We start from the raw sequence: 23,682 nt of genomic DNA, 5'->3' as shown, positions 1-23,682 counted from the left end.
ACACCTGTAATCCCAGCACTTTGGGAGGCTGAGCCAGGCGGATTACCTGAGGTGAGGAGTTCAAGACCAGCCTGGCCAATGTGGTAAAACCCTGTCTCTACTAAAAATACAAAAAATTAGCCAGGTGCAGTGGCACACACCTGTAATCCCAGCTACTTGGGAGGCTGAGGCAGAATTGCTTGAACCTGGGAGACGGAGGTTGCGGTGAGCCAAGATTGCACCACTACACTCCAGCTTGGGCGACACAGCAAGACTTCGTCTAAAAAAAAAAAAAAGACTGTGTAAGTTACTTAACTCCTCTGAGCTTGTCATCTTATCTGCAAAATGGGATCACTAGCGTGTATCTCGCTGAGCGGTACAGATGAACTATGTAAAGCATTTGGCCCAATGCCTGGCACTGCTAAGCATGCAATAAATGGAAGTTACTATCATAATGTGTAACACATATAATTATGACAATTATATTTCCAAGATATTCTGGGATCTTTACAGTTTCATAATTTTGCTCTTTTTACTATACAACACTCCTTTTATTGAAACAAATACAGATTTTGGAGTCAGACAGACCTAGTCTGGATTTGAATTCCAGCTCTCCTTCTTACCAGCCTGGGGCCATGGAGAATGTTGTCCATTTCCCTGAGCCTCAGTGTTCTTCTCTGTAAAATGTGGATGATACCTGACTCCCAGGCATTTTGCCAGGATTACATGGGATTCCTACACAGTGCAATGTCTAGTGATAATATAAATACTAAAAGCAACTTGTTAAATGTATAAATAAATGTGATTTATTTTTGCTCCTTTACATACAGTATCATGGATATAATTTGTAGATGTGTGTACTGTGAATACAATGGCCACTTCTCTTGCTCCCAAAGTGTCTCTGTAGCCTGGTGTTTCATCCTAGCCACAGAAGGGTTCAAAAGGCCACAGCATCAGCAGTGTGGGACCCTGCTGATAGGGAAGAGAGAAGGGGAAGTCACAGAAACAGGGGACTCCCTTTTCCTGTCTGGCTAGGATTTGTTTTTCTTCCACACAGGCTGTATGTTCCCTGTTGATATGGGGGTCTGTCAAGTGTCCAGCTTTGATTGGCGTCTCCAGTACAGAGGAAGTAAGGAGCCCCTTAACTTTCAGGAGCTGTTTTCCTCTGGACTTGCAGACTAGAGTCCCAAACACGTTCTCTTTCTGGCACCACTGGTGAGAGCAGAAAGCAATGGAGAAAATCCAGAATCATGATGTCAGAGCTAGACGACCTCAGAGAAGGGAGGCAGTATAGTGGAGTGGTTCAGAGCATTGATTGGGTGGGTCAGAATAACTCAGCCCAAATCCTGGCCATACCACTTACCAGCTGGATGACCTGGGGCAGGTTATAGAATCTCTCTAAACCCTAGTTTCCTCAGCTGTAAAGTGGGGATAAGAATATTCCTGATTCAGCCGGGTGAAGTGGCTCATACCTGTAATCCCAGCACTTTGGGAGGCCGAGGCGGGCAGATCACGAGGTCAGGAGGTCGAGACCATCCTGGCTAACACGGTGAAACCCCGTCTCTACTAAAAATACAAAAAATTTAGCCAGGCATGGTGGCAGGCGCCTGTAGTCCCAGCTACTCAGGAGGTTGGGGCAGGAGAATGGCATGAACCCGGGAGGCGGAGCTTGCAGTGAGCCAAGATGTCACCATTGCACTCAAGCCTGGGCGACAGAGCGAGACTCTGCCTCAAAAAAAAAAAAAGAATATTCCTGATTCATATGAAATCAGATATAAAGCTCTCAGGACAGTGTCATGTACATAGTTAGTACTCAGTATTTGAAAGCTGTTACCATTTTCTCTTGTTCTGCCATTTCATTTTCACAGTTGAGGACCCTAATGGCCAAAAAGGAAGCACAGCTCGTTAACTGTCCACCCGATCAGAGCTACTTCCCAGGCAGGGCTGTAGCTTAGGGATCAAGACCCTGCATTAACTGTGCTGAGAGCAAGAACCAGCAGCACCACCCTAGCTGTGGGGTTGGAGGCTTGAGGGTATGTGCAAATCAAGGCATGACTTCCACCCAAATGAGTGCCCAAAAGAGAAAGTCCCTTCCTGCTGGAATTATTTATTTTGTAATTAACAAAGACTGGAAGCCCTTTCTGATATTTTGGTTTGGAGACTCAGAGTTTAAACTTATAACAGCCATGGACAAGGGTTTATTGCGGGCCTGTTCTTACTTGCTGAATTGAATTCATTATTATGATCCCTAAGCAACTAGGGGTCAGGAGCTAAGTATGTAAGACAGACAGCTAGGATTTTGCGATCAGAGGACAAAGTGTCCGGAGTGGAGAGGCTTCAAAAATTGAGCCCTGTTTCCAGGCTCTGTAATGTCCAGATCTCAACTGCTTTGGAGCTGCCTTCACCTCTAAGTGTTCAGGGAGGGGTCTGGCACTTCAACGGGCCCCACCAAGTCCTGGGCAGCAGCCCCAGTTTCTGGTGACCTTCGTGCAGCTTTTGGGTTGTGCTTTGCTTTGTTTTCTTGTTTGTTTTTTCATGGCAGGGTGGCCTTTCCCTGCTTCTGGGTTGGAACTGGGGGAGGGAGGATGGTTTGCTCCCATCTCCACAGCTGTGTTTACAGTTCCCTGTCAGGGACTGTCTGTGGCCCAGCCTTTCCTCAGTCTGCTGTGTCCCCTCTGAAAATTGCTGTTTGATATCTCTGTGGGCATTACAAGGGAGGGGCGCAACAGGCCAATGGGTCACTGTCCGAAGGGGGCTCAGGTTGGAAGGCAGGAATACTAGTGCAGAGAGCTCTGTTTGGATTCTGAGGAGCATCATCTCCTTCCCTTTCTACCAGTGGCCTGAGGACCAGCAGGGGACGAAAGTACACTTAGAACTCGCCCGTCCCAGAAGGACTAGAACACGTGACATGTCATTTCTAATCATGGGCTTGAACACAATCTTGCTTTGTGATGGGGATATGAGTGTACAGAGCAGAGCGGTCTTCCCTAAGGCTTCGCTGGGGCCAGTGGTCAAAGATACAGCATGTTAAAGCCAAGAAGATTATGCTAAAATATAAGGAAATTAAAAAGGATTTAAGAAAACGGTCAAGTAAATAATGCTCTTCTTCCCCAGGGAGCAAGTTGAGCTGGTATTAATCAGTATACTAGGGTTGCTGGACTCTGGGCCAAGCCCAGGAGAGTAGCTGCCAAGGCAAATCAGGCATCAGGTTTCAAAAATTAAACACATAATTTTATTTTTCTGCAATAGGGAACTTTCAGAAAAAGAACCAGCCCTATTAGGCTACTTAGCACACTTTGTCCAGTTTCTTTCAGCCCCAGAGGCCTCCAATTTAAAGCAAGATGAGCAACTGGAAGCCAGGAGTGACACAGTTATTCCCTTCTCCCATTAACTGCCTGGGGGTGGGGCCGGGAGGAGTGGGGCAGGGGTGATTGTACTGTTTTTCAAAGGTCCAGTTGCTGACCACTTGCCAGCAGTTTTTCTACGAATTTACAGGACAAAGACCTGAAGGGTTGCAAAAGAAAAAGAATTGTAGAAGAAGAGCTAGCTAAAGTTTGGCTGATAATGTCTCAGGAAATGTCAGCTAAGAAAGGGTCTGGTCTCAGGAAAAACTCTCTCATCACAATAAGGAGGAAGCAACTGGCAAACAAATTTTCCTCCAAGAACCTCACGCTTATTGGTGGTGTGGAAAGTTGTTTTTATTATTATTGTTAGTATTATTGAGACAGGTTCTCATTCCATTGCCCAAGCTGGAGTGCAGTGATGCAATTATGGTTCACTGCAGTATTGACTTCCCAGACTCAGGCGATTTTCCCACCTCAGTCTCCTGAGTAGTTGGGACTACCGGCCCACACCACCATGCCTGGCTAATTTTTTTGTGTTTTTTGTAGAGACGGGGTTTCATCGTGTTGCCCAGGCTGGTCTCAAATTCCTGAACTCAAGCAATCTGCCTGCCTCATTCTCCCAAAGTGCTGGGATTACAGGTGTGAGCCACTGAGCCTGGCTGAAAGTTATTTTTGTAATCCTTCCATGAATGAGGGTTACTAAGCCCTGTGTGTAGTCCTATCATGGTGGAGGTGAAAGAGATATACAGTGTAGTAGTGAGTGTAAAGTGATACTGAAGTTGAAGGGCTGGGAAATCCAGGAGGGCTAGAAGGTTTAATGAAGAGAGGGAACTTAGGTTAGGCTGTAGATCAGATTCTGATCTACAGCTTTGGCATAAATCCCTTCAACTTCCTTTCCACCTGAAAATATTTCTGTAACCATACTTTGTTATGTCAAAATGTCTTTGTATCTACTCTCTTGTTATTTGGCATCTTCTCCTAAGGCAGTGTTGTCCACTTCTGTGGCTTCAGTTACCATCAATATGTTGATGGTTTCCAAATCTCTCACTAGTCTCTCTCCTGACATTCAGATCTTCTGGACAGCTCTCCCTAGCTAAAGCCACAGTCTTTCTCCCAACAATTATTAATGTTGTGCAGTGGCTCTCAAACTTCACTACACATTGTAATCACCTGGATGCTTTAAAAACTCTTGAAGCTCAGGCCATACCCTAGATCAATTAATCAGACTTTTGGGTGTGGGAGGTGGGCATCAGTAGTTTTAAAACTCCTTGGCTGGGCACGGTAGCTCACGCCTATAATCCCAGCACTTTGGGAGGCCAAGGCGGGCGGATCACCTGAGGTCGGGAGTTCAAGACCAGCCTGACCAACATGGAGAAACCTTGTCTCTACTAAAAATACAAAATTAGCCAGGCATGGTGGCGCATGCCTGTAATCCCAGCTACTCGGGAAGGCTGAGGCAGGAGAATCGCTTCAGCCTGGGAGACAGAGGTTGCGTGCGGTAAGCTGAGATCGCGCCATTGCACTCCAGCCTGGGCAACAAGAGTGAAACTCCATCTCAAAAACAAAGTTCCCCAAGCTCCCCAAGTGTGAGCCAAGTTTGAGAACCACTTATCTTGAAGGCAGCGGGAACAGAAAGGAATGCCAGTATAAAGGAATATTTTCCTTGATTTGGTAGTTAAATGGATAGGGGCAAGGGAAAAACAGCAAAGTTTTTATATAAGGAAAAGAACACTAAATCTGGTTGGAATCCAGCGACCTGAGTTTAAGACCTGACAGAATTATTCATCTGTGTAAGGCAAGTCTTCTAACTCCTTTAGGCCAGAATAACCTGATGTGTAAACTGAAGTTGCCCTACGTACTTCATACAGTTGTTATGAAGATTACTTGAAAAAATGAACATTATAAGCTTTTCTAATTATACACTTTGAGACAAAATCAAAATCAAGATGTTATTATTTTGCATTTTAATTTGTAATTTTAAAAATTTATATTTTGAAATAATTTCAGATTTAATAGAGTTGCAAATATGGTAGAGTTCCTATATGTCCATCAAACTTCCTCAATTACAATGATTAAAACCAGGAATAAGATTGATAAAATACTATTAATTAATCTAGAGATTTTATTCTAATTTCATCAAATTATCCCACTGGTGTTCTTTTTCTGGACCAGGATTCAAGCCAGGATCACACATTACATTTAGTTGTCATATCTCCTCAGTCTCCCAATCTGAGATGGTTTCTCACCCCTTGTCTTTCATGATCTTGACACTTGAAGATACTGGCCAGTTATTTTGTAGATTGTCTCTCATTTTGGATTTGTCTGATGTTTCCTCATAATTAAATTCAGCTTATGCAGGCTGGGCATTGTGGCTCATGCCTGTAATCCCAGCACTGGGAGGCAGAGGTGGGGGGATCACCTGAGTCAGCAGTTCGAGACCAGCCTGGACAACATGGTGAAACCCCATCTCTACTAAAATTACAAAATTTGCCGGGTATAGTAGTGCATGCCTGTAAACCCAGCTACTTGGGAGGCTGAGGCAGGAGAATCGCTTGAACCCAGGAGGCAGAGATTGCAGTGAGCCGAGATTGCACCATTGCACTCCAGCCTAGGCAACAAGAGTGAAACTGTCTCAAAACAAACAAACAAACAACACGCACAAAAAATCAGCTTATGCGTGTTCGTCAAGAATACCACAGAAGTGATTTTGTGCGCTTCTCATTGCATCATGTTCAGAGGGACCTGGTAAGAATACCTCTCAGCTGGGGGCAATGGCTCATGCCTGTAATCCCAACACTTTGGGAAATCAAGGTGGGAGGATGGCTTGAACCCTGGAGTTCAAGACCAGCCTAGGCAACACAGCAAGACCCTGTCTCCTTAAAAAGAAGAGGGAGGCCGGGCGTGGTGGCTCATGCCGGTAATCTCAGCACTTTGGGAGGCCGAGGTAGGCAGATCACTTGAGGTCAGGAGTTTGACAGCAGCCTGGCCAATACGGTGAAACCCCATCTCTACTAAAAATACAAAAATTAGCCGGGCGTGGTGGCACGAACCTGTATTCCTGGCTACTTGGGAGGCTGAGGCGGGAGAATTGCTTGAGCCCGGGAGGGAGAGGTTGCAGTGAGCCGAGATCGCGCCACGGCACTCCAGCCTGTGTAAGTAACAAAGCGAGACTCCGTCCAGCCTCGCCCCCCGGCAAAAAAAGAAGAAGAAAACAATACCTCTTATCACTAGTGATGCTAACTTTGATCACTTAGTTAAGGTGGTGTCTGACAGATTCTTATCTGTAAAGTTGCTATTTTTTTCCCTTTGTAACTAGCAGGTGTCTTGTGGGGATTTATTTCGATACAAGGCTATAATTTTGATTCTAAGTGACTAGAAAACTATGAACAGAAATAGGGAGATCAGACATAAATAAAGGGCTTAGAACCCATAGACCGGTGTCTGGAGAACTGGTAGGGGTGAAGCATCGGTATGAAGGTGATCTGGGTTGGCTTCAAACGCTGAAGTGAGATGTGGCTTGTCACCAGCGCGTGGGGATGGCAAATCCGCTGAATAGGGTCTTCAGGAAGATATTAGTGGCTCTGCGAAGGTTTCCCCAGAGCCCTTCCCCTCCCCTGCCAGCGCCGCTTTGGAAGCCGTCTGGGAGGCTGCACCCGCCAGGACTCCTGAGTGCGGGGTTTTGGCGGCAAATGACAGTAGTGCGTCCGCGCGGCACGGGTAAGTCAATGCGCACGCGCCGACAGGAGGCGCGGGGCGGGGCACGGCGCAGGGGTGGGGCCGCGGCGCGCATGCGTCCTAGCAGCGGGACCCGCGGCTCGGGATGGAGGGTGAGTGAGTAAACAAGCCTGGGCCGGGCGGTGGGGCCGGGCCTCCTCCCCTCGCCGCCCTGGGCCTGAGGGAGGGAGAGGCGGAGGGATCAGGAAATTGGAAGGAATCCGAGGGACACACTGCCTGCCTGGCCGGGGGTAGCAGGCGCCCCTCCTCATTCCGAGGGTGGGGGAATGGGGGCGACGGGGCGAGAGAGACCCAGGCGAGGACAGCGTCTGGGGCTGCGAGGGCTGTGTGCCCGGGAGGAGGAGCGGCGGGGGCGGGCTCGGGGACGGGGAATCCCGTTGGATGGCGGTGTGGGCCGGTGGGCGGGAGCCCCAGCGCCCAAAGGGCGCGGGAGGGCGGTGGCACCTGCGGGGGCCTTTAGCGAGGTGGACTCTGGGGACCTGGAGCTGTGCTTGGGGAGGGCTAGAGACCGGGGCTGATCTTGCGATGGCTTTCGGGGATGTTGAGGAGGGGTAGCAGTAAAAACAAGGCCGGGACTAGGGTGAGGTGAGTAAGGCTCCCAAGGCACAAAGTGTAAAGGAGCACTGACTCAGGGTCGCGCAAGTGCAGTGAGCGCCTCCTCACGTGCGTCCTGGGTGCCTCGGTCGCCTCACCCCAGGCCTGGCCCTGAGCAAGAATCTCCTTCACTCCAGACTTTTGGTCTCACGCCAATGATCGCTCACCCCCACCATTCAACCGAGGATCAAATGATATAAATAAAAGTGCCTTGAAGCACAGACAAGGTGTTGTATTTGGGACATGCCTGTTAGGAAATGTGGGACAAACTTTTATTTCAATAAAAAGTGACTACTGAGGAATTGTTTCTTGAGCAGGGAAGGGAAGGGATACCTGAAGGATGTTAGTGCCCCCCGTGGAATGTGAAGGAATATGGAGGGTGAAATACAGGGTTGTATGTGATGTAGCCCAGGCCGATAGGAACCTGACGCTTGGCAGGGGAGGATGAAAGCAAAGGAGCTCAGGTACACTAACAATTAGGTGGGTGCAAGGATGGCAATGAAAACGCGAGTCTCCTCCACGTTTGCTGCCATACTGCCGCTGAATAAAAAAATTCCCACACCCCATGTTTTTTAAATTTAGGAAACTGATATTGAAGGAGGTTTCCAGCCTGAGAAGGTGCTAACCCTATTAGAGGTTTCTGTGAAAGCTTGTCTATTTTAAGTCTTGGAATCCCCAGATATGCCACTGATAAAAGAGATTACTTACATAGGAGAGAGTGTGTGTTAGGAGATAAGTACTTTAGACTGGGCTCGGTGGCTCATATCTGAAATCCCAGCATTCGGGAGGCCCAGGCAGGAGAATAGCTTGAGCCCAGGAGTTTGGGACCAGCTCAGGCAACAATAGCGAGACCTCATCTCTACAAAAAAAAAATAGCCAGATGTGGTGGCCTTCTCCTATAGTCCCAGCTGCTTGGGAGGCTGAAGCAGGAGTATTGCTTGAGACTGGGAGGTCAAGGTTGCAATGAGCTCTGATCCTGCCACTGCACTCCAGTCTGGGTGACAGCACCTGAGACCCTGTCTCAAGAAAAAAAAAAAAAGCCTGGCACGGTGGCTCATGCCTGTAATCCCAACACTTTGGGAGGCTGAGGTGGACCGTTCACTCGAGCCCAGGAGTTTGAGACCAGCCTGGGCAACATGGGACAACTCCATCTCTACTAAAAATACAAAAATTAATCAGGTGTGGTGGCACACGCCTGTAGTCCCAGCTACTCGGGAGGGCTGAGGCATTAGAATCGCTTGAACCGGGAGGTGGAGGTTGCAGTGAGCCGAGATTGCACCACTGCACATCAACCTGGGCAACAGAGTGAGATTCTGTCAAAAAAAAAAAAAAAAAAAGGAGGCCTGGCACAGTGGCTCAGGCCTGTAATCCCAGCACTTTGGGAGGCCAAGGCAGGCGGATCACTTGAGGTCAAGAGTCCGAGAGCTGCCTGGGCAACATGGCGAAACTCCTTCTCTACAAAAATACAAGAATTAGCTGGGCGTGGTGGTGGGTGCCTGTAATCCCAGCTATTCAGGGGGTTGAGGCACGAGAATCGCTTGAACCTGGGAGGTGGAAGTTGCAGTGAGCCGACATGCACCACTGCATTGCAGCATGGGTGACAGAGCAAGACTCCATCTCAAAAAAGAAAAAAAAAAGGGAGAGAGAAGTACTTAAAAACGCACATACATAATAGGAGAAAGGACTATCTATAAAACTGTAATAATGCTATCATTGTCAAGGTTTATGCTTATTGTTGTGTGTCACAAACATAATGAATCAACTCCAAAGGCAGGGATATATGTTTTATTCATTGATGTACCCCAAACACCTAAAATGGTAACACATAGTAGATACTACTATTAAGTATAATAGTAGGTGCTCAACATATATTTGTGGAATAAATAGTGGGGAAATTTCTGGCACTGGGAGTCAGGTGATCCGGATGCTAGTATTGTCAGTAACTGGCAGAGTACTTGTATGCTAATCGTGGAACTTGATGCTAAGGCCCAGCTTAAAATTCCTTAAAGTGTAAATGACTTCTTCATTATGATGGTTACATTAGTGCCCTTTGAAACAGCACTAGAGGCTGGGCTGATGGCTTACACCTATAAGCCCAGCACTTTGGGAGGCTGAGGCTGTTGGATCACCTGAGGTCGGGGAGTTCAAAACCAGCCTGGCCAATATGGTGAAACCCCATCTCTACTAAAAATACAAAAAATTAGCCAGACGTGGTGGCGGACACCTATAATTCTAGCTCTTGGGAGACAGAGGTGGGAGAATCGCTTGAACTTGGGAGTGGGAAGTTGCAGTGAGCTGAGATTGCACCACTGCACTCCAGCCTGGGCACGAAAGAGTGAGACTCTGTCTTGGGAAAAAAAAAAAAAAGAGAGACAGCACTGGAATAAGGAGGCTGGAACTAAAAATGAAATTTTACTCCCAAGAAGACATTTGGGAGAAGGGAAAGTTAAGAAAAATGTGGTCGGGCTTGTTTCTTATATATTTGCCTTTGGATGATACCTTCAAACAACCAATTTAAGTCTGGACACTGTGGCTCATGCCTGTAATCCCAGTATTTTGGGAGGCCGAGGTGGGCGAATCACTTGAGTTCAGAAGTGTGAGACCAGCCTGGGCAACATGGCAAAACTCTGTCTCTACAAAAACATTACAAAAATTAGCCAGGCCTGGTGGTGTGGGCCTGTAGTCCCAACTACTCAGGAGGCTGAGTAGGGAGGATTGCTTGAGCCCAGGAGGCAGAGGTTGCAGTGAGCCGAGATCAAGCCACTGCATTCCAGCCTGGGCAACAGAGCAAGACCCTGTCTCAAAACAAAATAAGAAACCGATTCAAAATATTAATTTTGTCTATTTTTAATTCCTAGGGTCTGAAACCTGGCTTCATTACTCTGTAGGCAACAGTTCCTTCCCTTTGATTTGCTGTTTATATGAAACATGTAACAATTCATGTCATTAAGTATATCTTTTTCTGGTCTTAGATTAAGTTTAAAAAGTTTCACTTTGGGCCCCCCACGTTGTGGCTCACAGCTGTAATCCCAGCACTTTGGGAGCAGGCCGAGGGATTGATCACTTGAAGCCAGGAGTTTGGGACCAGCCTGTCCAACACGGTGAAACCCCGTTTCTACAATTAGCTGGGCGTGGGCATCCCACACCTGTCATCCCAGCTACTTGGGAGGCTGAGGAACGAGAATCCCTTGAACCTGGAAGGCGGAGGTTGCAGTGAGCTGAGATGGCACCACTGTACTCTAGCCTGGGCGACAAAGGGAGACCCTGTCTCAAAAACAGTTTCCACTTTGTTCACTATTTCTATTTTGTTCACTAGTAGCGTCCCAGAAAAGATTTGAGGTAGCAACACTAAAAACACACTAATTCCATTTCTACATAGAATAAACTAAAGAGAAAAGAGAAAACAATTTGTGGAGAAAAGTGAAGATAATTAGATAGGTTGGGATTGAGGGGAAGGGTTAAAGGTTAAAAAAAGAAAAATTGTGCTTCTCCATTCTGGAAAGTCCCCAGCTTTTTCTTTGTTTTGTTTTATGTCCAAACTGTGTACATATTGGATTCTTTCCTACTCCTTAGTCTATCAGTCAATCATCAGTTGAGACTTGAGTACACTACACCCTAAAGTCATGAGTTACTTAATGGGTAGTTGGAATTCAGTACCTTTAGTGTGTTTTATTCTCTAACTCACCTACCCGAATAATTTGATTCAAAATAGACTAAAAAGTCTTATTTTTATTGGATGATATGAGCAGGCACTAAATACAGTACAGTATTAAACTTTGGGCTGACACAGTACAGAACCAGTCAAGATAGGGCTCTAGCCTGTTAGGAGATTGCTTTTACTCTTCCAAGTCAGCGTTCTCACTGGGCACGGTGGCTCATGTCTGTAATCTCAACCCTTTGGGAGGCTGAGGAAGGGGGATTACTTCAAGTCAGGAGTTCAAGGCCAGCCTGGGAAACATAGCAAGATCTTGTAGGCTGGGCGTAGTGGCTCACGCCTGTAATCCCAGCACTTTGGGAGGCCGAAGCGGGTGGATCACAAGGTCAAGAGATCGAGATCATCCTGGCCAACATGGTGAAACCTGTCTCTACTGAAATGCAAAAATTAGCTGGGCGTGGTGGCTTGCACCTGTAGTCCCAGCTACGCGGGAGGCTGAGGCAGGAGAATCGCTTGAACCCGGGAGGCGGAGGTTGCAGTGAGCTGAGATTGCACCACTGCACTCCAGCCTGGCAACAGAGCAAGACTCCGTTTCAAAAAAAAAAAAAAAGATCTTGTCTCCACTGAAAATATAAAAAATTAGCCAGGCATGGTGGCATGTGCCCGTAGTCCCAGCTACTAGGGAGGCTGGGGCCAAAGGATCCCTTGAGCCTGGGAGGTCGAAGTGCAGTGAGCTATGATCATGCCTGGTCGGCAGAGTGGGACCCTTTCTCAAAAAACAAAATAAAATGAAATAAAATTAAACCAGAGTTATAAATCCTGTGAGCCAGCATTTTCCTTTGGGTCTCATAAAAACTAATCCTGTTTATGGTGAAACCCTGTCTCTACTGAAAACACAAAAAATTAGCTGGGCATGGTGGTGGGCACCTGTGATCCCAGGTACTCGGGAGGCTGAGGCAGGAGAATGGCGTGAACCTGGGGGATGGAGCTTGCAGTGAGCCAAGATCGCGCCACTGCACTCCAGCCTGGGCGACAGCGCGAGACTCTGTCTCAAAAAAAAAAAAACTAATCCTGTTTAGATTTTTGTTACCATTACCTCCAGTGCATACGATCTAATTTTTTTTTTGAGACAGAATTTCACTCTTGTTGCTCAGACTGGAGTGCAATGGCACGATCTCAGCTCATTGCAACCTCTGCCTCCTGGGTTCAAGCGATTCTCCTGCTTCAGCCTCCCGAGTAGCTGGGATTACAGGCATCCACCACCATGCCCGGCTAATTTTGTATTTTTAGTAGAGACGGGGTTTCTGCATGTTAGGCTGGTCTCGAACCCCTGTCCTCAGGTGATCCACTCGCCTTGGCCTCCCAAAGTGCTGGGATTACAGGTGTGAGCTACTGCACCCAGCTGATCTGATTCTCTTAATTAAGCAACACTAGGAAATACTAATGTTATAATTTTATTTTAAATTAGAATTCAGAGTCACAGGTTCCTGTTAGGAAGGTTCTTTCTGTGTGTAGTGCCCAGAAGCTCAAACTAATGACAGATGAAAATACCTCAGAGAAGTTGGAGGGTATAAATTAGAGATGTGCTTTATAGATCCTAACTGAGAGATCAGGCTGTGTACCTAGTCACAGAATTGATTTTAATTGAAATGTTGATGAAATTGGTGATCACCAGAATGACCCAAAGGTGTGTTACTAGAGCTCTTTGCAGGGATAGGTTCACCCCTATCATTCAGGTTTCAATTACACTATGAATCAAAAAAGGAATAGGATGAAATATTTAAAAATATAGGCCAGGGGCCAGGCGTGGTAGCTCACGCCTGTAATCCCAGCACTTTGGGAGGCCGAGGCAGGTGGATCACGAGGTCAGGAGATGGAGACCATCCTGGCCAACATGGTGAAACCCCGCCTCTACTAAAAATACAGAAATTAACCCGGCTTGGTGGCGAGCATAGTCCCAGCTACTCAGGGGGGGTGGAGGCAAGAGAATCGCTTGAACCCAGGAGGTGGAGATTGCAGTGAGCTGAGATAGCACCACTGCACTCCAGCCTGGGTGACAGAGTGAGACTCCTTCTCAAAAAAAAAAAAAAAAAAAAAATCTAGGCCAGGCCCGGTGGCTTACGCCTGTAATCCCAGCACTTTGGGAGGCCAAGGTGGGTGAATTACCTGAGGTTAGGAGTTCCAGACCAGCCTGGCCAAGATGGTGAAACCCTGTCTCTACTAAAAATACAAAAATTAGCTGGGGCAGAGGTTGCAGTGAGCTGTTATTGCACCAACGCACTCCAGCCTGGCAACAGAGTGAGACTCCATCTCAAAAAAAAATAAAAAAAATAGACTGGGCACGGTGGCTCACGTCTGTAATCCCAGCAGAGCGAGATTCCGTCTCAAAAAATAATAATAAATACAAATAATAAATACAAATAAATAAAATTAAAAAATAAAAATCTGTAGTGCCATCTGCCTCCAAAGGCTTACTTAGCCTTGCTGGTTAATAAAATTATTATTCAAGAGAAACTATCAAAGACACTGAATTTGCCCCTAAGACAAAGAAGCTGTTTCTGCAAAGGGACACCTTATGTAGATGAAAAAATTTAATAGTTTGGAACTTTTGTATTCTGATCTCAGTCTCTCTAAGTTTAAGAACTTGTTCCTTAAATTTTTTTTTTTTTTTTTTTTTTGAGACAGAGTCTTGCTCTGTCGCCCAGGCTGGAGTTCAGTGGCACCGTCTCGGCTCACTGCAAGCTCCGCCTCCTGGGTTCACGCCATTCTCCTGCCTCAGCCTCCTGAGTAGCTGGGACTACAGGTGCCCGCCACCATGCCCAGCTAATTTTTTGTATTTTTAGTAGAGACGGGGTTTCACTGTGTTACCCAGGATGGTCTTGATCTCCTGACCTCGTGATCCGCCTGTCTCGGCCTCCCAAAGTGCTGTGATTGCAGGCGTGAGCCACCGCACCCAGCCGTTCCTTAAATTTTTTATTGCCATACAATTTCAGTAATGTTTTCCCATTTCCACCTAGTGACAGACTACATTCTAGTTTTAGCCTTTGCAGCAAATTGAGATCCAGTTTTCTGGGGAAAGATTGCTACATTTTTATAGCTTTCTTTTCCTGTAGAGATGTGACAGTAAATAAAGTGGTTCGTATTTCCAATGATTAATCTTTTTAAAAAATAAACTCTATTTTTTAGAATAGTTTGTTTTTTAAGAAAGAAAAAAAAGAAAGAATAGTTTGTTTGTTTTTGGTTTGTTTGAAACAGGGTCTCACTCTGTCACCCAGGCTGGAGTGCAATGGCGCAGTCACAGCTTGCTCCTGCAGCCTTGATCGTGCAGGCTCCATCTGTCTTCTCACCTCAGCCTCCCTGGTAGCTGGGACTAGAAGCACACGCCACCATGCCCAACTAATTTTTGTATTTCTTTTGTAGAGATGGGATCTCACCATGTTGTCCAGGCTGGTCTCGAACAACTGGGCCCAAGAGATCCACCTGCCTCAGCCTCCAAAAGTGTTGGAATTTCAGGCATGAGCCATCACGCCTGCCCTAGAATAGTTTTAGATTTATTTTAAAAATTGTAGGCTGGGCGCGGTGGCTCACGCCTGTAATCCCAGCACTTTGGGAGGCCAAGGCGGGTGGATCACCTGAGGTCAGGAGTTCAAGACGAGCCTAGGCAACATGGTGAAACTCTGTCTCTACTAAAAATACAAAAATTAGCTCGGCGCGGTGGCATGTGCCTGTAATCCCAGCTACTTAAGAGGCTGAGGCAGGAGAATCGCTTGAGCCCAGAAGGTGGAGGTTGCAGTGAGCCGAGATTGCATCATTACACTCCAGCCTGGGCGACAGAGCGAGACTCTGTCTCAAAAAAAAAAAAAAATTGTAAAGCTAGTACAGGGAGTTCCTGTTCTGCAACTGGCCAGCAGAACATCTTAAGTGGAATCATATGCAGTTATTTGCGTCTTATTTTTTTCACTTAGTATGGTGGTTTCATTTTATTATTACTATTATTATTAATGAGGCAGAGTCTCGCTCTGTTCCCCAGGCTGGAGTGCAGTGGCGCATTCTCAGATCACTGCAATCTCTACCTCCCTGCAATCTCTGCCCTGCTAGGTTCAAGCGATTCTCCTGCCTCAGCCTCCAAGCAGCTGAGACTACAAGTGCACACCACCATGCCCAGCTAATTTTTGTATTTTTGTAGAGATGAGGTTTCACCATGTTGGCCAGGCTGGTCTCGAACTCCTGATCTCAAGTGATCTGCCTGCCTCAGCCTCCCAAAGTGCTGGGATTACAGGCGTGAGCCACTGCACTCAACCAGCATAGTCTTTTAATGGTCTTGAGATGTGGTGTGAATGTATAGAAACTATTCATGGCTTTTTGTTGCTGAATAGTATTCCATTGTGTGTGTATATATCTATACACACTACATTTTGTATCCATTAGCCAATCCATTGATATGTGTGTTGTTTTCACTTTTGGCTATTATAAATAAATATGAACATTTGGGTACAGATCTTTGTGGAGACATAGGTTTTCAATTCTCTTGGATAAATAATTAGAAATTGTATGCCAGGTTCTGTGGTAAGTATATATTCAGCTTTATTTTTGAAAAACTGGCAAACTGCCTTCCACAGTGGCTATATCACTTTGCATTCCTACCAGCAGTGTATGAGGATTCCAGTTGCTTCACGTCCTCACCAACAAGTTGTATTATCAGTCTTTTTTCATTTTAGCCATGGTAGTGGTGTTTAATAGTATCTCATTGTATTTTTCATCTGCATTTCCCTAATGACTAATGATATGGAGCAACCTTTTGTGTGCTCATTTGCCATTCCTGTATCTTTTCTGGTGACATAGCTGTTCAAATTTCTGCTCTTTTTTTTTTTGAGACGGAGTCTCGCTGTCTCCCAGGTTGGAGTGCAGTGGCACGATTTTGGCCCACTGCAACCTCTGCCTCCTGGGTTTAAGCAATTCTCCTGCCTCAGCTTCCTGAGTAGCTGAGATTGCAGGCAGACGCCACCACGCCTGGCTAATTTTGTATTTTTAGTAGAGATGGGGTTTCACAATGTTGGTCAGGCTGGTCTCGAACTCCTGACCTTGTGATCCACCCGCCTTGACCTCCCAAAGTGCTGGGATTACAGGCATGAGCCACCACATCCAGCCTTCTGCTCACTTTTTATTGGTGATTTGTCTTATTATTGAGCTATAGGACTTGCTTATATAAATATTTTTTAATTTCTTGATCAAAACAGCATATGTTTTGGAGTTTATCTTCAATGTGTAGATGAACATAATGAAAGGCTGTTAAGTACTAGCTAAGTACCTAACTGGAATATAAGTGCTGTTTTGCATGTGTAAGTAACTAAATAATAGATCTGGTAGAAATATAAAGTATTTTTTTGTGTGCCACTCCCTTTGCCCAACACCAATGAATCCATCTCTCCAAATCTGCCTGTTCTAGTGAATGCTAAGTTTTTTATTTGTTCCCTTTTTTTTTTTTAACTTTGATATGATAATTGTTGGTTAGGGTCCAGCTGTGGTGAAAACTCATCTTATGGCTGAGTTTCAGGTGTGTGCCAACATGGCCTGCTAAATTTTGTATTTTTAGTAGAGTCAGGGTTTCACCATGTTGGCCAGGCTGGTCTCGAGCTCCTGGCCTCAAGTGATCCACCCGCCTCAGCCTCCCAAAGTGTTGGGATGACAGGCATGAGCCACCACAGCCAGCCAGACACGACAGCATCTGTAGATTATGTTCTATTCCATTACTTAATACTTCTTTTTTCTTTTCTTTCCCTCCCTGCCTTTCTGTTTCCTTCCCTCCCTCCCGCCCTCCTTCCTTTCTTCCTTTCTTTTCTTTTCTTTCCTCTTCTTTTTTTGAGACCGAGTCTCACTCTGTCACCCAGGCTGGAGTGCAGTGGCGCGATCTCAGCTCACTGCAACCTCTGCCTCCCAGGTTCAAGCGATTCTCCTGCCTCAGCCTCCGAAGTAGCTGGGATTACAGGCACCCACCACCACACCCGGCTAATTTTTGTGTTTTTAGTAGAGATGTGTTTCACTATGTTGGCCAGGCTGGTTTCGAACTCCTGACCTCAGGTGATCCGCCCACCTTGGCCTCCCAAAGTACTGGGATTACAGGTGTGAGCCACTGCGCCCAGCCCTTCCTTCCTTCTTTCTTTCTTTCTTTACTTTTTTTTTTTTTTTTGACAAGGCCTCACTCTGTCACCCAGGCTGGAGTACAGAGGCACAATCATGGCTCACTGCAGCCTCTACCTCCCCATGCTTAGGTGATTCTCCCAACTCAGCCTCCTGAGTAGCTGGGACTGACTGCAGGCACAGGCTACCATGCCCGGGTAATTTTTGTAATTTTTTTGTAGAGACTGGGTTTTGGCATGTTGTCCCAGCTGGTAATCTTCATTTTCAAATACGTGGAGAAACCTAAGCTTACTATTTCAAAAAGGAAAATAGGAAAAAAGGAAAATGAATGCCAAAAAGGAACGGAAGAGGGATTGCAATTTAAAACCATTATTTTGGCCAGGCGCGGTGGCTCATGCCTGTAATCCCAGCACTTTGGCAGGCTGAGGCAGGCAGATCACTTGAGGCCAGGAGTTTCAGACCAGGCTGGTCAACATGGTGAAACCTTGTCTCTACTAAAAATACAAAAATTGGCCGGGCATGGTGGTGTAATGTCAGCAACTCAGGAGGCTGAGGCACAAGGATCGCTTGAACTTGGGAGGTGGAGGCTGCAGTGAGCCAAGATCGTGCCACTACACTCCAGCTTGGGTGACAGAGCGAGACTCCGTCTCAAAAAAAAAAAAAAATCCATGTGCATGAGATATAATCATGAGCTTATTGTGGTATATGTGTGGTAATGGGTTAAATTTTGTTGTTTTCTTGTCCGTGCTGATGATTTTTTTTTTTTTTTTTTTTTTGAGATGGAGTCTCGCTCTGTCACCAGGCAGCAATGCAGTGATGCTGTCTCGGCTCACTGCAACCTCCACCTCCTGTGTTCAATCGATTCTTCTGCCTCAGCCTCCCAAGTAACTGGGAATACAGGCACCCGCCACCATGCCTAGCTAATTTTTTGTATTTTTAGTAGAGACAAGGTTTCACTATGCTGGCCAGGCTGGTCTCAATCTCTTGACCGCGTGATCTGCCTGCCTCAGCCTTCCAAAGTGCTGAGATTACAGACGTCAGCCACCCTGCCCGGCCTTTTTTTTTTTTTTTTTTTGAGATGGAGTCTCGCTCTGTCGCCCAGGCTGGAGTGCAGTGGTGCGATCTCGGCTCACCGCAAGCTCCACCTCCCGGGTTCACGGCTGTCTCCTGCCTCAGCCTCCCGAGTAGCTGAGACCACAGGCGCCTGCCACCATGCCAGGCTAATTTTTTGTATTTTTAGAAGAGACGGGGTTTCACCATGTTAGCCAGGATGGTCTCGATCTCCTGACCTCGTGATCCGCCCACCTCGGCCACCCAAAGTGCTGGCTGGGATTACAGGCGTGAGCCACCGCGCCCAGACCTTTTTTTTTTTTTTTTTGAGACAGAGTTTTGCTCTTGTTGCCCAGGCTGGAGTGCAATGGCGCAATCTCGGCTCGTCGCAACTTCTGCCTCCCAGGTTCAAGCAATTCTCCTGCCTCAGCCTCCAGAGTAGCTGGGATTATAGGCATGCGCCACCACGCCCGGCTAATTTTGTATTTTTAGTAGAGACGGGGTTTCTCCATGTTGGTCAGGCTGGTCTCAAACTCCCACCCTCAGGTGATCTGCCCGCCTCGGCCTTTCAGAGTGCTGGGATTACAACCGTGAGCCAGCGCACCTGGCTTTTTCTTTTTTTTTTTTTTTTTTGTAGAGATGGTGTCTCACTTTGTTGCCCAGGCTGGTCTCAGAGTCCCAAAGTGTTGAAATTATAGGCATGAGCCATTGCACGTGACAGAGTCTCACTCTGTTGCCCAGGCTGGAGCGCAGTGGTGCAATCTCAGTAGCTCACTCTAGCCTTGATCTCCTAGGCTCAAGTGATCCTCCTACCTCAGCTTCTTGAGTAGTTGGAACTACAGGCATGCACCACCATGCCCGGATGATGTTTTTGATTTTGTTTTGTTTTGTTTGGTTTTGAGACAGAGTCTCGCTATCGCCCAGGCTGGAGTGCAGTGGCACGATCTCGGCTCACTGCAGGCTCCGCCCCCTGGGGTTCACGCCATTCTCCTGGCTCAGCCTCCCAAGTAGCTGGGACTACAGGCGCCCGCCACCTCGCCAGGCTAATTTTTTGTATTTTTAGTAGAGACGGGGTTTCACTGTTTTAGCCAGGATAGTCTCGATCTCCTGACCTCATCATCTGCCCGCCTCGGCCTCCCAAAGTGCTGGGATTACAGGCGTGAGCCACCGCGCCCGGCCGATGTTTTTGATTTTTAATAGAGATGAGGTCTTACCATGTTACCCAGGCTTGTATCAAACTCCTGAGCTCAGGCTATCCTCTCAGCTTGGCCTCCCAAAGTGCTGGGATTACAGATGTAAGCCACTGCACCCAGCCTCTTTTCCTTTAAAAAATAACAAAAACAACAGCAAAAGAAAATTTTGAAAAATAGAGATAGGATCTGACTGTGTTGGCCAAGCTAATCTCAAACTCCTGGCCTCTTAGCAACCCTCCTGCCTTGACTTCCCAAAGTGTTGGAATTACAGGCATGAGCCACTGCACATTGCCTGATCATTTATTTTTCTTTTCTTTTCCTTTTTTTTTTTTGGTTTTGTTTTGTTTTTGTTTTTGAGACAGGGGCTTGCTCAGTTTCTCAGGCTGGATGCAGTGGTACAATCATGGCTCACTGTGGCCTCAATCTCCTGGGCTTAAGTGATCCTCTCACCTCAGCGAAAAAAATAAATGTGTAGGAAATTTTAAAAAATAGGGTGTGAAACTTTAGTTTCTGTTTCAAATTTTGGCTCTTCATAGCTCCTTGTAATGTTTTGTTTTGTTTTGTTTTGTTTTGAGGCAGAGTCTCACTCTTGTTGCCCAGGCCGCAGTACAATGGCGTGATCTCAGCTCACTGCAACCTCTGCCTCCCGGGTTCACATGATTCTCCTGCCTCAGCCTCCCGAGTAGCTGGGATTACAGGTGCCTGCCACCACACCTGGCTAATTTTTTTTTTTTTTGTATTTTTTAGTGGAAACGGGGTTTCACCATGTTGACCAGGCTGGTCTTGAATTCCTGACCTCAGCCTCCCAAAGTGCTGGTATCACAGGCGTGAGCCACTGCACCTGGCTAGCTCCTTGTAATGTTTTTAAACATTTTTAATGTTAGGTGGAATAAATAGAGCTAGTTATCTAAGAAACCCAAGTAGTTATTATAGAGTAAAAGCATCATCTTGTGGATTTTATTGAATTTTTACATGTATTTAGTGTTTGTACTTTCTCTAAAATAATTGGCAGGCCTGTTAGCTGAGCCTAGAAATTGGTTCAGAAAAGCATTATGGGCAGGTGCAATGGCTCACACCTGCACCTGTAATCCCAGTACTTTGGGAGGCCGAGGCAGGCAGATCACTTGAGGTCAGGTGATCCCCAGTAGAGATGGTGAAATCCCATCTCTACTACAAATACAAAAAAATTTGGCCGGCTATGGTGGTGCGCGCCTATAGTCCCAGCTACTTGGGAGGCTGAGGCAGGAGAATGGCTTGAACCCAGGAGGCGGAGGTTGCAGTGAGCCAAGATTGTGCCACTGCACTCCAGCTTGGGCAACAGAGTGAGACTCTGTCTTTAAAAAAAAAAAGCATTATGAAAAAATAGAATTTAATAAAGTAAAGGGCCTCTTCCCAAATGGCATCAAGTATTATAGGGACCTGTCTTAGACATACAAAAATAGTAGGAGAAACCTTGAAGTCTTTCTGATTCTGGGGGAAAATCCTACTGAGGGTGTCAGGGTCTAACTTGCTGCACTAACTTAATAGAACCACTGTCTGTTCTCTTTTGAAAAGCTGGACACCTGTTCTGCTGTTGTGTCCTGCCATTCTCCTGAAGAACAGAGGCACACTGTAAAACCCAACACTTCCCCTTGCATTCTATAAGGTAGGTAAAGTATATTAGAATACATACTTCTTGGCCGGGCGCGGTGGCTCACGCCTGTAATCCCAGCACTTTGGGAGGCCAAGGCGGGCGGATCACGAGGTCAGGAGATCGAGACCATCCTGGCTAACACGGTGAAACCCCGTCTCTACTAAAAATACAAAAAATTAGCCGGGCGTGGTAGCGGGCGCCTGTAGTCCCAGCTACTCGGGAGGCTGAGGCAGGAGAATGGCGTGAACCCGGGAGGCGGAGCTTGCAGTGAGCCGAGATCGCGCCACTGCACTCCAGCCTGGGCGACAGAGCGAGACTCCGTCTCAAAAAAAAAAAAAAAAAAAAAAAAAAAGAATACATACTTCTTTAAAACGTTGAACCTTAATTCAAATACCAAAAAGGGGGATTTGCATTGCTATCTATTTCCATATGTCTTGCTGCTGACTTGGAGATGAGATTATACTGCTGTCATATCCTACTTTTATTACTAGGCATGTGGTAAATTTAGACCATTTGGCAGTATGGTTTTGTAGCATGGGTGGATCTTTCCATGAAACCCTTGGATGCAAACTTGGTTCTTGCTGACCACTTCTCTTACTCAAAGTAAAGAGAAGACTTCCATATCTTGAAGTAATCCAAGTTCCTAGTACCTGTGGGAGAACTTCTTGAGTGCTAAATTAAAAACAAGATACCACAGGAGGACAGAGGCTAAGCTTTTTGATAATTGGACCACAAATTGCTGATGTGAAATTTTGTTGTTGTTGTTTTTTTTTGTTTTGTTTTTGTCTTTTGTTTTTGTTTTGAGACGGAGTCTTGCTCTGTCGCCCAGGCTGGAGTGCAGTGATGTGATCTCGGTTCACTGCAACTTCCACCTCCCGGTTTCAAGCCATTCTCCTGCCTCAGCCACCTGAGTAGCTGGGATTATAGGCGTGTGCCACCACATCCAGCTAATTTTTGTATTTTTAGTAGAGACGGGGTTTCAGCATCTTGGCCAGGCTGGTCTTGAACTCCTGACCTCGTGATCCACCCACCTTGGCCTCCCAAAGTGCTGGGATTACAGGCATGAATCACCATGCCCGGACTTTTTTTTTTTTCTTTTTTGAGATGGAGTCTCACTGTGTCACCCAGGCTGGAGTGCAGTGGTGCGATCTCGGCTTACTGCAACTTCCACCTCCCAGGTTCAAGAAATTCTCGTGTCTCAGCTTCCCACATAACTGGGATTACAGGCACAAGCCACCATGCCCGACTAATTTTTTTTTTTTTTTGTATTTTTAGTAGAGACGGGGTTTCACTATGTTGGCCAGGCTAGTCTTGAACTACTGACCTCAGAAGATCCACCCACCTTGGCCTCCCAAAGTGCTGGGATTACAGGCGTGAGCCACCGTGCCTGGACTTCTTGTTGTTTTTTGTTTTTTTGTTTTGTTTTGTTTTTTGAGACAAGGTCTCACTCTGTCACTCAGGCTGAAGTGCAGTGGCGTGGTCACGGCTCAATGCAGCCTTGACCTCCTGGGCTCAAGCAGTCCTCCCACATCAGCCTCCTGAGTAGCTGGGACTACAGGCACTGGCCAACACATCTGGCTAACTTTTGTATTTTCTGTAGAGATGGGGTTTCACCATGTTGCCCAAGGTTGTCTCAAATCACTGGGCTCAAGTAGTGCTCTCACCTCGGCTTCCTAAAGTGTTGGTTTTACAGGTGTGAGCCCCTGCCTCTTTTTTTTAAATTGAAACTTTCTGTTGAACTCACACATTTGGGTTCTTTAAATGTGTGTTTTTATGAGTAAATTTAATGGGAATGAAAGCATAATTGATCTTTTTTTTTTTTTTGTATTTGAGGAATGCTTTATTTCCAGGCAATAAAATGCTATTTCTCATCTCTGTCTCTCTTAGATTACAGCAAGATGGAAATACCAAATCCCCCTACCTCCAAATGTATCACTTACTGGAAAAGAAAAGTGAAATCTGAATACATGCGACTTCGACAACTTAAACGGCTTCAGGCAAATATGGGTGCAAAGGTAAAAAATAATTCCCAAGTGAAAGTTTATATATTTCAATATACTGACCCAGTGTAAAGGGGTTGGAATTTTTTTTTTTTTTTGAGACAGAGTCTCACTCTGTCACCCAGGTTGGAGTGCAGTGGCGTAATCTCAGCTTACTGCAAGCTCCACCTCGCAGGTTCACGCCATTCTCCTGCCTCAGCCTCCCGATTAGCTGGGACTACAGGCGCCTGCCACCACGCCCGGCTAATTTTCTTGTATTTTTAGTAGAGATGGGGTTTCACCATGTTAGCCAGGATGGTCTCGATCTCCTGACCTCGTGATCCGCCCGCCTCAGCCTCCCAAAGTGCTGGGATTACAGGTG

At 46.4% G+C, this 23,682-nt stretch overlaps 1 protein-coding gene across 6 annotated transcripts in view, besides 1 other annotated feature; it reads left to right on the top strand.

The window, feature by feature from the left end:
• Nucleotides 6,964-7,543: a silencer, noted in NCBI's record as "silent region_8546". NCBI's record gives its function as "represses an Ori minimal core promoter by ATAC-STARR-seq in GM12878 lymphoblastoid cells {active_cell/tissue: GM12878}" and the evidence as "EXISTENCE:reporter gene assay evidence [ECO:0000049][PMID:35858748]".
• Nucleotides 7,121-23,682, top strand: part of EZH1 (enhancer of zeste 1 polycomb repressive complex 2 subunit) — a 44,766-nt gene continuing 28,204 nt past the window's right edge. For 3 of the 6 annotated variants that reach the window (NM_001321081.2, NM_001321082.2, NM_001991.5), the window contains exons 1-3: nucleotides 7,121-7,150; nucleotides 21,243-21,333; nucleotides 23,209-23,336. In NM_001321081.2, the coding sequence (NP_001308010.1) occupies nucleotides 23,220-23,336 (117 nt within the window). In that variant the 5' untranslated portion in view covers nucleotides 7,121-7,150; nucleotides 21,243-21,333; nucleotides 23,209-23,219. The remainder of the gene's footprint in view (nucleotides 7,151-21,242; nucleotides 21,334-23,208; nucleotides 23,337-23,682) is intronic. The other 3 variants (XM_011524517.3, XM_005257145.3, NM_001321079.2) reach the window with 1 other exon arrangement.

This window comes from Homo sapiens, chromosome 17, assembly GCF_000001405.40.
Source record: "Homo sapiens chromosome 17, GRCh38.p14 Primary Assembly".
In the NCBI taxonomy this organism is placed as follows: domain Eukaryota; kingdom Metazoa; phylum Chordata; class Mammalia; order Primates; family Hominidae; genus Homo; species Homo sapiens.
This window is presented reverse-complemented; position numbering and strand designations above follow the sequence as displayed.